The sequence below is a fragment of the Homo sapiens genome, chromosome 11 (assembly GCF_000001405.40).
Source record: "Homo sapiens chromosome 11, GRCh38.p14 Primary Assembly".
In the NCBI taxonomy this organism is placed as follows: Eukaryota; Metazoa; Chordata; class Mammalia; order Primates; family Hominidae; genus Homo; species Homo sapiens.
The window spans coordinates 59,554,193-59,567,382 of record NC_000011.10 but is presented as its reverse complement, the minus strand read 5'-3'; the positions used below and the strand labels follow the sequence as shown (position 1 = coordinate 59,567,382).

Here is a 13,190-nt window from a genome sequence, read left to right as displayed (position 1 = left end):
TTTCTCCATGTTGGTCAGGCTGGTCTTGAACTCCCGACCTCAGGTGATCCGCCTGCCTTGGCCTCCCAGAGACACCGCATCTGGCTAAAACATTTTTCAGTGAATAAATGCAAGAGATGAAAATTATGAAATGGGAGGTGGAGGAGGAATAAAATCAGCATATTAGAGATATTATTAAACCACAACTTGCTTCTTAGAGTTTGAGGGAAGCCTGACTTAATTCTTTTTTTTGACTATATATATTTAAAAATGAAAAATGCCAAGATGGTATTCCAAAAATTGAGGTATATTTTTAATGCTAGGTTTAGCAAATCAATGCTTTTAACAAATACTGTACAGTGACTCTATGTTTACCTCATGTGGAGGTAGCATTGAAAGTCTACATTTGAAGCCTTTACAAATGGCCTTCCTTACCTCTTCTATATATCCTGGATTTCAATCTGAAGATATCTGTAAAAATCACAATGTTTATATATATCTACCTTGCAAAATCTGCCTTTGCACAAGAAAAACAAGTATATTTTAAAAATTTATGGCAGTATTGTTTTTAATAATGAGATATAGAAAAAGGTAAAAAAGCTGATAGTTGTCAGTTTGATTACATAGATTATGTTATAACCATACAATCCAATACTGGCGAACGTGGATTAAAAAGTATGATAGGTCTACATAACTGCCATGAAAAAAGTCCATAATATGTTTTTAAATGAAAAAAGCAAATTGCAGGGAACTTAAAACAACAACAACAACAAAAAACCCTGAGAAAAGTGATTTATCACTTCAGTTTGTAAACAAGGGCCTTGCCTTATCACCTTTGTAACATTTGTAAAATGCCTACCTCTAGCTGAATCCATATGATCTTTGTTACCACGGAACAAATACTATTTTATTATAATTATGTAGAAAAAAAGAAAAACGTCTTCCACGGCAGCCGAAATAGCTCAGTTGGGAGAGCGTTAGACTGAAGATCTAAAGGTCCCTGGTTCAATCCCGGGTTTCGGCAGCGCTTCCGTTTTAGGCGTTAGTCATCACTACATGTGATTTCTGCAGTTAACAGGGTCTTTCTGCAGTTAACAGGGTCAACACCCTGTGGGTTCTCACGCGGGCTGGGGCAGTTAAGGGAAACCTTATCGTCATTTTCCCCTGGGAGGGAGGATACTGGGGACATATGTCTTACCTTTTAAACTGCCCAGTACGAAGTTACGCCTCTGCCCTCACTTGGGACCTGGTTTGAGACAAGCTCTTCCGGAGCACTGCGCATAGCTCACTTTCTTGAGCAACCCTGTGTCCCCGCACCCCGCTCCTCTTCTTTCGGGTTCTAGGCAGCCGTGGGCGCTGCGACCCTTCTCTCACTGTCAGAGGGGCGGGAGCTCTCGGCCTGCGCCGCCTCCGCTGCCTGCTTGGTCGCGGGCTTGCCGGGAATGGTGACAGCCCGGGCCCCCTCTTGGCCAAAGAAGTCCTCGAAAGCGTTCGGCGCACGGGCTTTGTCCAGCTTTTTAAACCGTAACAAGGACCGGGGCCGGGCGCGGTGGCTCACGCCTGTAATCCCAGCATTTTGGGAAGTCGAGGCGGACGGATTACTTGAGGTCATGAGTTCGAGACCAGCCTGGCCAACACGGTGAAACTCTGTCTTTAAAAAAGAAAACAAAAACAATAACAAGGACCCTAGAACAGCTCTTAGGTGGGGCGGGAGACAGAGATCGGAAGCCCTTTCTAGTTTAAATCTACACTAGGGTTAGAAGACCAAATACAGGACGTCCAATTAATTTCCTTTTTTTTCTTTTTCCTTTTCTTTTCTTTTTTCTTTTTTTAAGATGGAGTCTTGCTCCCATGCTGGAGTGCAGTGGCGTGATCTCGGCTGACTGTAACCTCCGCCTCCCGGGTTCAAGTGATTCTCCTGCCTCAGCCTCCGGAGTAGCTGGGATTACAGGTGCCCGGCTAATTTTTGTATTTTTAGTAGAGACAGGGTTTCACCATGTTGGCCAGGCTGGTCCCGAACTCCTGACCTCAGGTCATCCTCCTGCCTCAGCCTCCCAAAGTGTTGGGATTACAGGCACGAGCCACTGAACCCGGCCAAAATTTGAATTTCAGAGAAACAACAAATACTTTTTAGTATAAACATGTCCCAAATATTGCATGGAATATACAAAGTACATATTTGTTGTTTCTGTGAAATTGGATTTAACTGGACACCCTGTATTTTTATTTTCCAAATTGCAAGTCACTTGTACATCATATCCTTGCACCCCTCTGAACCCTATGCACCACCTTCCCCACCCCAGCAAAGATATCCAGACGCTGTATGCAGGAAGAACTGAATTTCAGAGGACACCGTTTGATCTTCAACACCTGGCAGTTTACAAAACAGGTTTGTATCCATTGGCTAATTTGTTATCAGCACCAACAGAGAAGCTCCTGGCAGAGATCACTAGGAAACACCCCGGGAATCGGCCATCCACCAGTTTCTAGGCTTCCAGAGTTGTCCATGCTTGTCTGGCATGGGGGCGGAGGTCAGTGGAACTCGGAGGATATGGATTGAATTTCAGTAGAAAGCCTCATTAAGATGATGAACCACAGCCGGGCATAGTGGCTCACGCCTGTAATCCCAGCACTTTGGGAGGCTGAGGCGGGCGGATCACCTGAGGTTGGGAGTTCAAGACCAGCCTGACCAAAATGGAGAAATCCCGTCTCTACTAAAAATACAAAATTAACCGTGCGTGGTGGCGCACGCCTGTCATCCCAGCTACTCGGGAGGCTGAGGCAGGAGAATCGCTTGAACCCAGGAGGCAGAGGTTGCCGTGAGCGGAGATTACACCATTGCACTGCAGCCAGGACAACAAGAGCGAAATTCCGTCTCAAAAAAAAAAAAAAAAAAAAAAAAAAAAAAAGATGAGCCACTCCACTCAAGGCAAGGCAATGGAAAAACACACTTAGGGAGTGCCTTCTTTTTAGTCAGGCTGGACCATGGAGGGAGAGGAAGGAGATCCATGTGTCACATTCTAAGAACTCGCAGTGTGGTAAAAGGCAAAATGAAGCCAGCCATATGGTTTTTAGGCCTATTTATACCCCTCTCCTCTTTCTGTTAATGTTTGCCAATATGCTAGCTGATATGGGGCTTCAGCCCCAAAATCGTTGAGTTCTTGGGTGGAAAGATGTATTTTGATGAGGGGCTCTTGAAAGTCCAATGGTGATCAATAAGAAGAAACCCCAACTGATCATCTAATAGACTAGAGAATTAAACTTTTCATGAGGTTTGGTCGAACGCCATTCTAGATGTTACTAGGAAGGTGTTTTTGGTTTGTTTCTTTTGAGACAGGGTCTTGTTCTGTTGCCCAGGGGTGGGGTGCAGTGGCACCATCACAGTTCACTGCAGCCTCAACCTCCTGGGCCTCAAGTCATTCTTTGGCCTCAGCCTCCCTAGTAGCTGGGACCACAGGTACGCAGCATCACGTCCGGTTAATTTTTTGTATTTATAGAGACGGGGTGTCGCCATGTTGCCCAGGCTGGTCTCGAACTCTGGAGCTCAAGCGATCTGCCTGCCTCGGCCTTTCAAAGTGCTGAGACTACAGGTATGAGTCACAGCCCCTGGCAATGAAGGTATTTTTTACATGTGATTAACGTTTAAATCAGTAGACTCCAGGTAAAGAAGATCACCCTTTATAATGTGCCTCATTAAATCAGCTGAAGCCTTTAAGAGCAAAGACTGGAGTTTCTGAAGAAGAAGGAATTCTCCTAAAAACTTTGCTATAGGCCAGGCGCGGTGGCTTACGCCTGTAATCCCAGCATTTTGGGAGGCCGAGACGGGCAGATCACCTGAGGTCAGGAGTTGCAGACCAGCCTGGCCAACATGGTGAAACCCCATCTCTGTTAAAAATACAAAAATTAGCCAGGCATGGTGGCGCATGCCTGTAATCCTAGCTACTTGGGAGGCTGAGACAGGAGAATTGCTTGAACCTGGGAGGCGGAGGTTGCAGTGAGCCAAGATTGAGCCACTCCACTCCAGCCTGGACAACAGAGCAAGACTCCATCTCAAACAAAAACAAACAAACAAAAAAAACTTTGGTATAGAAAACCTGCCTTCCTGAGTCTCCAGCTTACTGCCCTGCTGAATTTATTTATTTATTTATTTATTTATTTATTTATTTATTTAATTTTTTGAGAGGGAGTCCTGGTCTGTCACCCAGACTGGAGTGCAGTGGCGCCATCTGGGCTCACTGCAACCTCTGCCTCCTGGGTTCCAGAGATTCTCCTGCCTCAGCCTCCCAAGTAGCTTGACTACAGGTGTGCACCACCACGCCTGGCTAATTTTTGTATTTTTAGTAGAGACGGGGTTTTACCGTGTTGGCCAGGCTGGTCTGGAACTCCTGACCTCAGGTCATCCACCCGCCTCAGTCTCCCAAAGTGTTGGGATTACAGGCATGAACCACAGCACCTGGCCTGCCCTGCTGAATTTAAACTCAAGATGGCAACCTTAACTCTTATCTGAATTTTCAAACCGTTAGTCTGCCCTACAGGTTTTGGGTTTGCTGACCCCCACAATGTGTGAACCGAGCTCTTAAAATAATCTTTCTCTACCTCTGTTTCTATCTGTCTCTGTCCTACTGGTTCTGTTTCTTTGGAGAACCTGACAGCATGCTTTAAAGTGTTACTTATACACACAGGTAAGAGTGAAGAATGAGATTGTTACTATTGTTCTGAGCAAAAGCCAACCACCTTGGGACCAAAAGTGGGAGGCATATTCCTAGGAAATGTTGGGCCTAGCCTTTGCCCTAAAAAGGCAAGCCCTGTCTGTTTTCAGCCTGAAGAGGAGAGGGGGAATCCTGGTGAGAAGCATTTGGAATTCAAGCTCAGAGAAGAAGACACGGTATTTCTGGCTGAATCACATTTCCTGCATGCCTGCACACTCCTACTCACCTTTCAAGGCACAGTTCTAATGCCTTACCCCCTGCCAGGTGCTACTCTGCCTTCCTTCTAGTGATTTCTCTGGGTTACCAAAGGTCTTGCATATTTCTCTATTAAAGCATTGATTAAAAGCCATCTCGGCTCACTGCAACCTCTGTTTCCTGGGTTCCAGCGATTCTCCTGCCTCAGCCTCCCGAGTAGCTGGGACTACGGGTGTGCGCCACCGCACTTGGCTATTTTTGTATTTTTTGGTAGAGACCAGGTTTCACCATGTTGGCCAGGCTAGTCTCAAACTCCTGACCTCAAGTGATTGGCCCGCCTCGGCCTCCAAAGCGCTGGAATTACAGGCGTGAACTACTGCTTTGGCCAAGCTGCATTCTCAAAGGTGTAAAGGGTAGAAGTATATACCACCCGAAAATATGCCACTCCGGCCTAAGGATTATTTTGCGCTAAAGGCAATTGGGAAGAAGCTGATTAAAATAAAGCTCCATAGCCTCCCCCTATCTGCCTAAAAGCAGGATATACATTTACAAAGTCGTTCCTCCTCCTTTCTCTACCAGGAAGGACAAAGGTTGATAACCTAAGACAACTTTAGGTCCTTAACAGCTTGGAGACGTGAACAGAGGGGACCACAGAAGTACATTTAACAAGCTTTAGGAACCTGCCTTTATCTAACATTAATTTCCCATATATTTGCTTTCCCACAATTTGCTGTCCCTGGAGACCCGAGGTCCTTTCTTTTTGCTTTCTTTTTTTTTGTTTTTTTTGGGACAGAGTCTCGCTCTGTCGCGCAGGCTGGAGTGCAGTGGCGCGATCTCGGCTCACTGCAACCTCTGCCTCCGAGTTCAAGCGATTCTCCTGCCTCAGCCTCCTGAGTAGCTGGGATTACAGGCGCGCGCCACCACGCCCGGCTAATTTTTGTATTTTTAGTAGAGACGAGGTTTCACCACATGTTGGTCAGGCTGGTCTCGAACTCCTGACCTCAGGTGATCCGCCCACCTCGGCCTCGCAAAGTACTGGGATTACAGGCGTGAGCCACCGCGCCCAGCCTTTAAGGTCCTTTTCCTTTGTGTTGTCACTTCTCCAAAAACGTATTGTTCTTTGTTGACGATGCTGTATAAAATGGAGTTCTCAGCCACACCTTTAGAATTACTCATTCCCTGGGTATGTCCCATGTATATATGAAATGCACATGTTAATACACTTGTTTTTCTCTTCATTCTGTCTGTTGTTACAGGAGTCCCAGCTGAGAACTCAAACTGGTAGAAGGAAGATTATTTTTCCTTCTCTATAGGTGCTTGGAGGTAACGAGGGGAAAGGAGTTGAAAGGAAGGTGACATTTCAGGTATTGATGGGACAGCACGTGCGAGGCCTAGAGGACTGAAAGTTCTTGATGGGATCTGTCAGAAGAAAACAGCTGCGTGTACAGGGGAGAAGTGGGAGGGGCGGGTCGGCTAGCGAGCTGAGACGGAGCTGCGCGTGCGTCGAAGTCGGGGCTGTGGGGGCGGGGTGGGTCCGGGGCGCGCTCACCGGATCGCCGGCGAGCTACGGCTACCACCCGTCATCTCTTTTCAGCTAATCTGCTTCGCGCTACTTTTTTGAGGTGGGCACCTGGGATGGAGGCAAGGAATCACGAAGTGGCGTCTCCTCGGAAGGGGCAGCCTGATGTCTTTAACCACTGAACTGTGGTTTCCAACTGGATGCGCTTTGGGTTCAGGGCTAAGACACGCGTAGGCGGTGCAGACAGTTCAATTCGTGGGCGGCTTTTTCTCTCCCCTGCGCGGTTTTGCAGAACTGAGGATTCACGTTTGCCACGCAGTCTCTAAATGTAAGGAGAACTTGCTTTATTTAACGAATGTGTATTCAGCTGCCAAAGAACAAGCTAATCACCCTTCCTCCCCACGCCCGACTTAGCCTCCTCCCAGCCCTCGCCGGATTTCTGCATCGGAATTGGATTGGATCACACACAAAAGAAGAGCCCAGGAACTCGTTCACCACCTTGCACCTTGCCTGTTAGTTCACGGCATAATGGTAACAGAGTCTTCATTAATGGAAGCAACGTTACTACCGTGAGCCCGGATAGCTCAGTCGGTAGAGCATCAGACTTTTAATCTGAGGGTCCAGGGTTCAAGTCCCTGTTCGGGCGGTATCTTTTTTTTCCTCATTAAAAGAGTAAGAACCAATTTTAGGATCTTTTGTTTGTTAACACACTGCAAAAGAAGGGAATAAAGTCCTGGATTGTGTAAACTGCGACCCCAAACACTTCTCGGAGGGTAAGCCCTCTATGGGGATAGGCCTTTGTGCAGAGGTATACGGGAAACTTCTAATCCATCACTTTGGGGGCTGTAATAGGCAGATTATTCTGTAGCCACCAGCCGGGCTGCTGTATCCCAACAGCGGATATATCAAAGGACCAGGCCGCCACAGTGACAGCCTCTCTTCGCTCCCCTGTGATGGCTCCTGCTGACCCTCCCTCTTGGGTTCTCTCCGATTGGGTGCCTGAGGAATATGGCTGGGATCCTGTACCTTCCCAGCCCTCCTTACTACCTTAGGAAAGAGTTTTCTGCACTATAAAAAGGAAGTGATGATCATCTAGAAACTGAAGCCCCAAACTGAGCCGTTCCCCTCATTAAACCAGGTCAAATCCACCCCTGACTCCCCTCTCAAAAGTGTGATCTGAACAAAGGAAGAAGTTGAGGTGGAGACAGCAGCTTCTGTTGGTGGGAGGAAGAGGGTGTGTATTAAGAGAGAGCGTATTCAAGGGACTGAAATGGGAAAAATGAAATGTTAGTGCTCCCCTACTACAAATTAAAAAGGTAAACAGGCGATCTTAGCGCTTTGGGAGACCGAGGCGGGCGAATCACAAGGTCAGAAGTTCGAGACCAGCCTGGCCAACATGGTGAAGCGCCATCTGTAGTAAAAATACAAAAACAATTAGCTGGGCGTGGTGGCCGGCGCCTGTAATCCCAGCTACTCGGGAGGCTGAGGAAGGAGAATAGCTTGAACCCGGAAGGCGGAGGTTGCAGTGAGCCGAGATCGCGCCACTGCACTCCAGCGCGGGCGACAGTGCGAGACTCTGTCTCAAAGAAAAAAAAAGGCGGGGTGTGGGGAAACATCGGCTTCTGCAGCGGTTTTTAGAATGTAAGGTCATCAAGGTGAGCTAATTTCCCTGTGAAGTGAAGGGACCGGTTGCATCCCTTGCTTGGCTAATGATGGAGCCTTCCTGGCTTCAGCCAGGCAACAGAAGAAAGTCGGTCTTGATCTCCTCATTGACAGGATGGGGATGTGGGCTGAACGTGTAAGAGGCTGCCCTCTTAGCTGGTGGACTGTGGTGCCCAGTGAGTCCTGATTAGTGGGGAAAGGCCAGGATGGCGACAGCACCCAATCGTGAGGCAGGGCCTTCACCCTGCCCACAGGAATGCTCTACCGTGGTCCACACAGATCCCAGCATTACCTCCCGCTCTCTAAAGCTCAGTTTCCCCAGGAGAAAGGGAATAATAATAGCTTCCATCTCATAAGCTTGTGATAATTAAATGGGATACCAATGCATGTACTGTGCTTAATAGCCTAAAAGCAAGCATTCAAAACACGGTAGCCATTATTATAATTATTGTTTTTATTTTATTTTCCTGTGAAAACCAGAAAACCTGCTAAACAAATTCTGAAAGAGCTGTAACACTGTTACCATAATTCTTAAAGAGCTTTCAATCTAACGATGAAACAACAGATACATATTGTAATAGGAGAGGAACCATTACAAAGAAATATGTGCCCAATATGCCCATATTCAGATGACTCGAGTTGACTAGTATGTGCTGGAGGGACAGCGATCCTCGCTGCTCCTAGGAAGAGTGGGCTGGGTGGGCGAGGCGAGCTTCTTTATTGAGGAAAGTAAATCTCAGGGTTCAGAAGGCATTCCAGGGAGAGAAACAGGTAAGTTTCTCGAATTTTTCTCCTTCTTCCTGAAGGAGTCCCTTCGAAAGCGATCAGTTCCACTTTTGGCGATCTTGAAAAGGGGAATCTTTTTACTCCAACCAGTTTCTGAATGAGCAAGAACAGACCAGGCTGGAGCGAGAGGACAAGGGTGGAGAGCTCTGGGTCCCCCCAGTCTTTCCTCCTTTCCCTCCTCCAGTTCATTCCCTCTCCAGCCATGGTGTTTAGTTTAGCCTTTGATGCTTTGGAGCCTCCCTAATAGTTCTAGGTGATTGGTGGCACATTTGTTATTCATTAAAAAATTTGTATATTATCATATCAATTAAAGGCAGGCGTGGGGGAGGACGGAATTGAATGCAATGCTGTAGATCCCTGCTGGACACACAGTAGGTTCTTAGAAAGCGGCGGTTCTTACTCTTATTAGGGCCCTGGGAAGAGAGAAAGCATGAGGAAGACAACACAATGTGGCCTGGGAAAAGGCAGAACGGGAAAGTTTCCTCACATGAAAGGAATTAATTTTCTTACTGATTGCTCTTAAAACCTCAGGGCTAAAAATAATACAGTTTGGAAGGTGAAATGAAGAACTAAAAGCCTGGAAGTGGGAGGAAACAGGATTATTATTATTGTTATTATTATTATTTGAGACGGAGTTTCGCTCTTGTCGCCCAGGCTGGAGTGCAATGGCGCCATCTCGGCTCACTGCAACCTCCGCCTCCCAGGTTCAAGCGATGCTCCCGCCTCAGCCTCCTAAGTAGCTGGGATTACAGGGGCTCGCTACCACGCCCGGCTAATTTTTTTTGTATTTTTAGTAGAGACGGGGTTTCACCATATTGGCCAGGCTGGTCTCGAACTCCCGAGTTCAGGTAATCCACCCGCCTCGGGCTCCCAAAGCGCTGGCATTACAGACATGAGCCACCACGCCCGGTTTTTTTTTTTCTTTTAAATTTCCTTGACAGGGCGGGACTGTCTCATGTCTTCGCCGAAATAGCTCAGTTGGGAGAGCGTTAGACTGAAGATCTAAAGGTCCCTGGTTCGATCCCGGGTTTCGGCAGACCTTTTGTTGGCTCAACCCCTTTGAACAGACAGGGCTACGGTCCACTTCTTAGCCTCTCTGGAGGCTCGCCTCTCTCCCCAGTACCCTTGCACGTTTGCACCTACGCCATACACACCCAGAGACGGCTGTTCTCCTTGTCTCTTAGGCGGGCAGAAACTAATGAGACGAAGTATTTAGTAAGGTATTATAAGGATGCAAAGAATAAGCTCGAGAAATCAGAAGTCAAAGTCATTATGAGGATGCATGATGAACTTAAGCCTCTCAAAGGAATCAGAAGTCGTAGAATGATTTCTTCCCAGTTCCGTAATCACCCTATTTATACTACTGGATGTTAAATGGCAATACGTGGCACAAGATTTGTTATTGAGGTGGCCAACACGCCTGTTCCACAGGCGGAAGGTCTTGGGTTTGATCACCAGTATAGTCAGCTCTCTGGGGCTGCACGTTTTTTCATCGACGACAGACATGAGGACAGTGTTCAAAAGCATTAGTCTTTACCGCAAGAGACACAAGTCAGGGGCCCACCAGAGCATTAAGAATCTGGTGAAGGACTGCGTCCAGTTGGAGATGTAGGAATCTTGCGTCTTTACGTGTCTTCATCTGAAATATTTCTTGAGTCTCAGTTTCCTCATCGCACTTTTAATAAAAAGTGCCTGAAAACATTCCTCGGTGCCAAAAGCTGCACAATTCTTGCCAAGAATATTACTAATTGTGACTCTGACGATGTGTTTATTGATCTGTTTTGAATATAAAATACAATTTAAAAGAAAAAATATCCTAAGACAAAGCAACGTATAAAGGTTGGAAAAGAAAAGCCTGCTATTGGAAGATAAAGTTTCTTGGCATTTTCCACACGTTTCACTTCTTCCGGTAAGAACCCACTAGCAAGTTCTGGTTTCCCTCAAGGAGGAGGCACCCCAAGCGGGTTTCACATAACGTTCCTTTCTCTCAGCCTCGCCCAAATCCATTTTATTGGAAACTAAAACAGCATCCGCCCGAACAGGGACTTGAACCCCGGACCCTCAGATTAAAAGTCTGATGCTCTACCGACTGAGCTATCCGGGCCCCTGAAGAAAAGCGTTTGCTTAGTCTATCCACAGGAAAATAGGCCACGTGGCCGCATTCTTTCCCTTCGCGATTACAATTCTGAGTCTTTTTGCTGATTTCTTGAGAGATGAACCGGCAAAATTGACAATGAGCAGGCGTTCAGCAAAATCGAGTCTTCATTTCTCCTTTTCTCCCATCATAGACGATAAAGACCCAAAAAGTAACCTCCTTCCTGACCTGCTCCGCGCCCTTACTGGAATTTCCCAGGAGGAATCCTCCCAGATTTAAGACATTTGACCGGGCCTCCGGGTAAACAGCGGGATTGCTAATTCCAGTTTTGGTCTTTGAGGAGTCAGTCCTAGAGCTTCTTGTGGGAGAAGCAGTGATGAAAAATTAGGTTTCCAATAATCGATTGGACTCAGTAAGTGGCTACTTACTGAGTGCAAACCGCACTCTCGGAACTAAGCAAGTACTGGGGCCGCAAAGACAAAGTCTCGGCCCTCAGTGGAACTGGAAGACGCGCAAAACAGAAGACCCTAGTCACGCGCGTTGGTGGTGGGATGCCAGCCTTTGCGGACCCCGGAGGACTTGGTCGGCACCCGAATTAAGAGCCAAGTTTTCCAGGGAGTGATGATGCCTGAACCGAGCTGTGGATAGCGACTGGGCACCTGAAGACTTGGAAAGAGGTTTCTAGCCGAGGGAAGAGCAAATGGAAAATGATGATATTTACTAACCTTGGGCATCTGACCATTTAGCTAAAGCATCCATTGAAAGATTTTGATCAGGCAAGCTACAGGCTGGATTTTATCTTTTTAGGGAGTCTGTTACCTTGGTAGCTGTGTCCCAGACGTACCTAATTAGTCAATTCTATAATTCGACCTGTTTCTTCATAACTTCTTTGCCATCTCATTTCTTAAAGCATTGGATCCCTTGAAAGAGAATTAAGCTGGGCATTGTGGCTCACGCCTGTAATCCCAGCACTTTGGGAGGCCGAGGCGGGAGGATCATTAGGTCAGGAGATCAAGACTGTCTTGGCTAACACAGTGAAACCCCGTCTCTACTAAAAAATACAAAAAAAAAAAAAAAAAAAAAATTAGCCAGGCGTGGTGGCGGGTGCCTGTAGTCCCACCTACTCGGGAGGCTGAGGCAGGAGAATGGTGTGAACCCAGGAGGCGGAGCTTGCAGTGAGCAGAGATCGAGCCACTGCACTCCAGCCTGGGCGACAGAGAGAGACTCCGTCTCAAAAAAAAAAAAAAAAAAAAAAAAAAAAAAGAAAGAAATTAAAGCATTTCTGTATATGAGCATATATAAACATATATCCTTTAATAATACATATAATTATATATAAATCTTGTTTGCGTATACATGGAAGGTCTATAAAGATAGAAAATAACCTGATAAAAAGGCTACATTTTGAGGAATGGCAATGAAGCCTGTGAGAGGACGTTTTCACTATTTTCTTTTTCTTTTCTTTTCTTTCTTCTTTCTTTCTTTTCTTTCTTTTTTTCTTTCTTTCTTTCTTTCTTTCTTTCTTTCTTTCTTTCTTTCTTTCTTTCTTTTTCTTTCTCCTTCCTTCCTTTCTTTCTTTCTTTCTTTTTTCTTTTTTTTCTTTTTTTGTCGCCCAGGCTGGAGTGCAATGGCGCGACCTCGGCTCACTGCAACCTCCTCCTCTCGGGTTCAAGCGATTCTCCTGCCTCAGCCTCCTGAGTAGCTGGGACTACAGGCGCCCGCCACCATGCCCGGCTAATTTTTGTATTTTTAGTAGACACGGGGTTTCACCATGTTGGTCAGGCTGGTCTGGAACTCTTGACTTCACGTGATCCGCCTGCCTCAGCCTCCCAAAGTGCTGGGAAAAATATGATTTGTTATTAACAAAATATTCCATGCTTCTGGGATGGCAGAAGTGGCACCTTAGATCAAAGCTTCCTTTGAAGTTTTTCTATAAAGAGCCAGAAGAAAAGGGTTAAATCACACACTTCCTCCTCTGCGGGACTCCCTCCTTGCCTCATTGTTTTGGATGGGAGTTGTTGGTATTGAAAAATCACAAATTTGACAGGTGCAGTTTTCACAAATGAAGATGTGGATCCCTAGGCATCAGATGGCAAGCCTCGGCTCAAGGAAGAAAACTAAAACCAGACCCCTTGGAAAGGAGGTGCCTGTGTCTCGTGAGGTCAGTCCCACGGGGTTATGAGCCTTTGGTCTGTTTCTTTCCAAACCTCTGAACCTCCACTTCTTTTTTTTCTTCTTCTTTTTT

The 13,190-nt window shown here is 46.5% G+C and overlaps 2 long non-coding RNA genes, 4 other non-coding genes and 1 pseudogene across 13 annotated transcripts in view, besides 7 other annotated features; 4 read left to right on the top strand and 3 right to left on the bottom strand.

Annotated features, from left to right (window-relative positions):
* Nucleotides 931-1,003, top strand: TRF-GAA2-1 (tRNA-Phe (anticodon GAA) 2-1). The gene has a single exon. It is a non-coding gene; the product is annotated as a tRNA-Phe (tRNA).
* Nucleotides 958-1,457: an enhancer, noted in NCBI's record as "H3K27ac hESC enhancer chr11:59333399-59333898 (GRCh37/hg19 assembly coordinates)". NCBI's record gives its function as "activates a minimal SCP1, AML or CMV promoter by ChIP-STARR-seq in naive and primed H9 embryonic stem cells {active_cell/tissue: H9 hESC(naive and primed)}" and the evidence as "EXISTENCE:reporter gene assay evidence [ECO:0000049][PMID:30033119]".
* Nucleotides 1,253-7,085, top strand: LINC02739 (long intergenic non-protein coding RNA 2739). 4 transcript variants are annotated; one of them, NR_187290.1, is made up of 8 exons: nucleotides 1,253-1,618; nucleotides 1,815-1,930; nucleotides 2,283-2,368; nucleotides 3,477-3,569; nucleotides 4,799-4,864; nucleotides 6,140-6,247; nucleotides 6,506-6,730; nucleotides 6,817-7,085. It is a non-coding gene; the product is annotated as a long intergenic non-protein coding RNA 2739 (long non-coding RNA). The 4 variants fall into 4 exon arrangements; NR_187289.1 differs by lacking the exons at nucleotides 1,815-1,930; nucleotides 3,477-3,569 and having other exon boundaries at nucleotides 6,478-6,730; NR_187291.1 differs by lacking the exons at nucleotides 1,815-1,930; nucleotides 3,477-3,569; nucleotides 4,799-4,864.
* Nucleotides 1,433-1,612: an enhancer, noted in NCBI's record as "active region_4757". NCBI's record gives its function as "activates an Ori minimal core promoter by ATAC-STARR-seq in GM12878 lymphoblastoid cells {active_cell/tissue: GM12878}" and the evidence as "EXISTENCE:reporter gene assay evidence [ECO:0000049][PMID:35858748]".
* Nucleotides 1,433-1,959: a biological region, named in NCBI's record as "H3K27ac hESC enhancer GRCh37_chr11:59332897-59333398".
* Nucleotides 1,458-1,959: an enhancer, noted in NCBI's record as "H3K27ac hESC enhancer chr11:59332897-59333398 (GRCh37/hg19 assembly coordinates)". NCBI's record gives its function as "activates a minimal SCP1, AML or CMV promoter by ChIP-STARR-seq in naive H9 embryonic stem cells {active_cell/tissue: H9 hESC(naive)}" and the evidence as "EXISTENCE:reporter gene assay evidence [ECO:0000049][PMID:30033119]".
* Nucleotides 6,637-13,190, bottom strand: part of LOC102723575 (uncharacterized) — a 23,345-nt gene continuing 16,791 nt past the window's right edge. For 2 of the 5 annotated variants that reach the window (XR_950137.4, XR_007062686.1), the window contains one exon: nucleotides 8,504-8,943. This is a non-coding gene — a long non-coding RNA (uncharacterized LOC102723575). Of the gene's footprint in view, nucleotides 6,725-8,503; nucleotides 9,264-13,190 lie in introns of those variants that run through there. The other 3 variants (XR_007062687.1, XR_950135.4, XR_950136.2) reach the window with 2 other exon arrangements.
* Nucleotides 6,976-7,048, top strand: TRK-TTT3-4 (tRNA-Lys (anticodon TTT) 3-4). The gene has a single exon. It is a non-coding gene; the product is annotated as a tRNA-Lys (tRNA).
* On the bottom strand, nucleotides 8,528-8,583 carry RNU7-58P (RNA, U7 small nuclear 58 pseudogene; annotated as a pseudogene).
* Nucleotides 9,814-9,886, top strand: TRF-GAA1-3 (tRNA-Phe (anticodon GAA) 1-3). Its single transcript has one exon. It is a non-coding gene; the product is annotated as a tRNA-Phe (tRNA).
* Nucleotides 9,838-9,967: a silencer, noted in NCBI's record as "silent region_3365". NCBI's record gives its function as "represses an Ori minimal core promoter by ATAC-STARR-seq in GM12878 lymphoblastoid cells {active_cell/tissue: GM12878}" and the evidence as "EXISTENCE:reporter gene assay evidence [ECO:0000049][PMID:35858748]".
* Nucleotides 10,804-10,994: a silencer, noted in NCBI's record as "fragment chr11:59323862-59324052 (GRCh37/hg19 assembly coordinates)". NCBI's record gives its function as "represses an EF-1alpha promoter that drives an FKBP-Casp9 reporter gene in an ReSE screen in K562 erythroleukemia cells {active_cell/tissue: K562}" and the evidence as "EXISTENCE:reporter gene assay evidence [ECO:0000049][PMID:32094911]".
* TRK-TTT5-1 (tRNA-Lys (anticodon TTT) 5-1) lies at nucleotides 10,882-10,954 on the bottom strand. Its single transcript has one exon. It is a non-coding gene; the product is annotated as a tRNA-Lys (tRNA).
* Nucleotides 10,978-11,027: a silencer, noted in NCBI's record as "silent region_3364". NCBI's record gives its function as "represses an Ori minimal core promoter by ATAC-STARR-seq in GM12878 lymphoblastoid cells {active_cell/tissue: GM12878}" and the evidence as "EXISTENCE:reporter gene assay evidence [ECO:0000049][PMID:35858748]".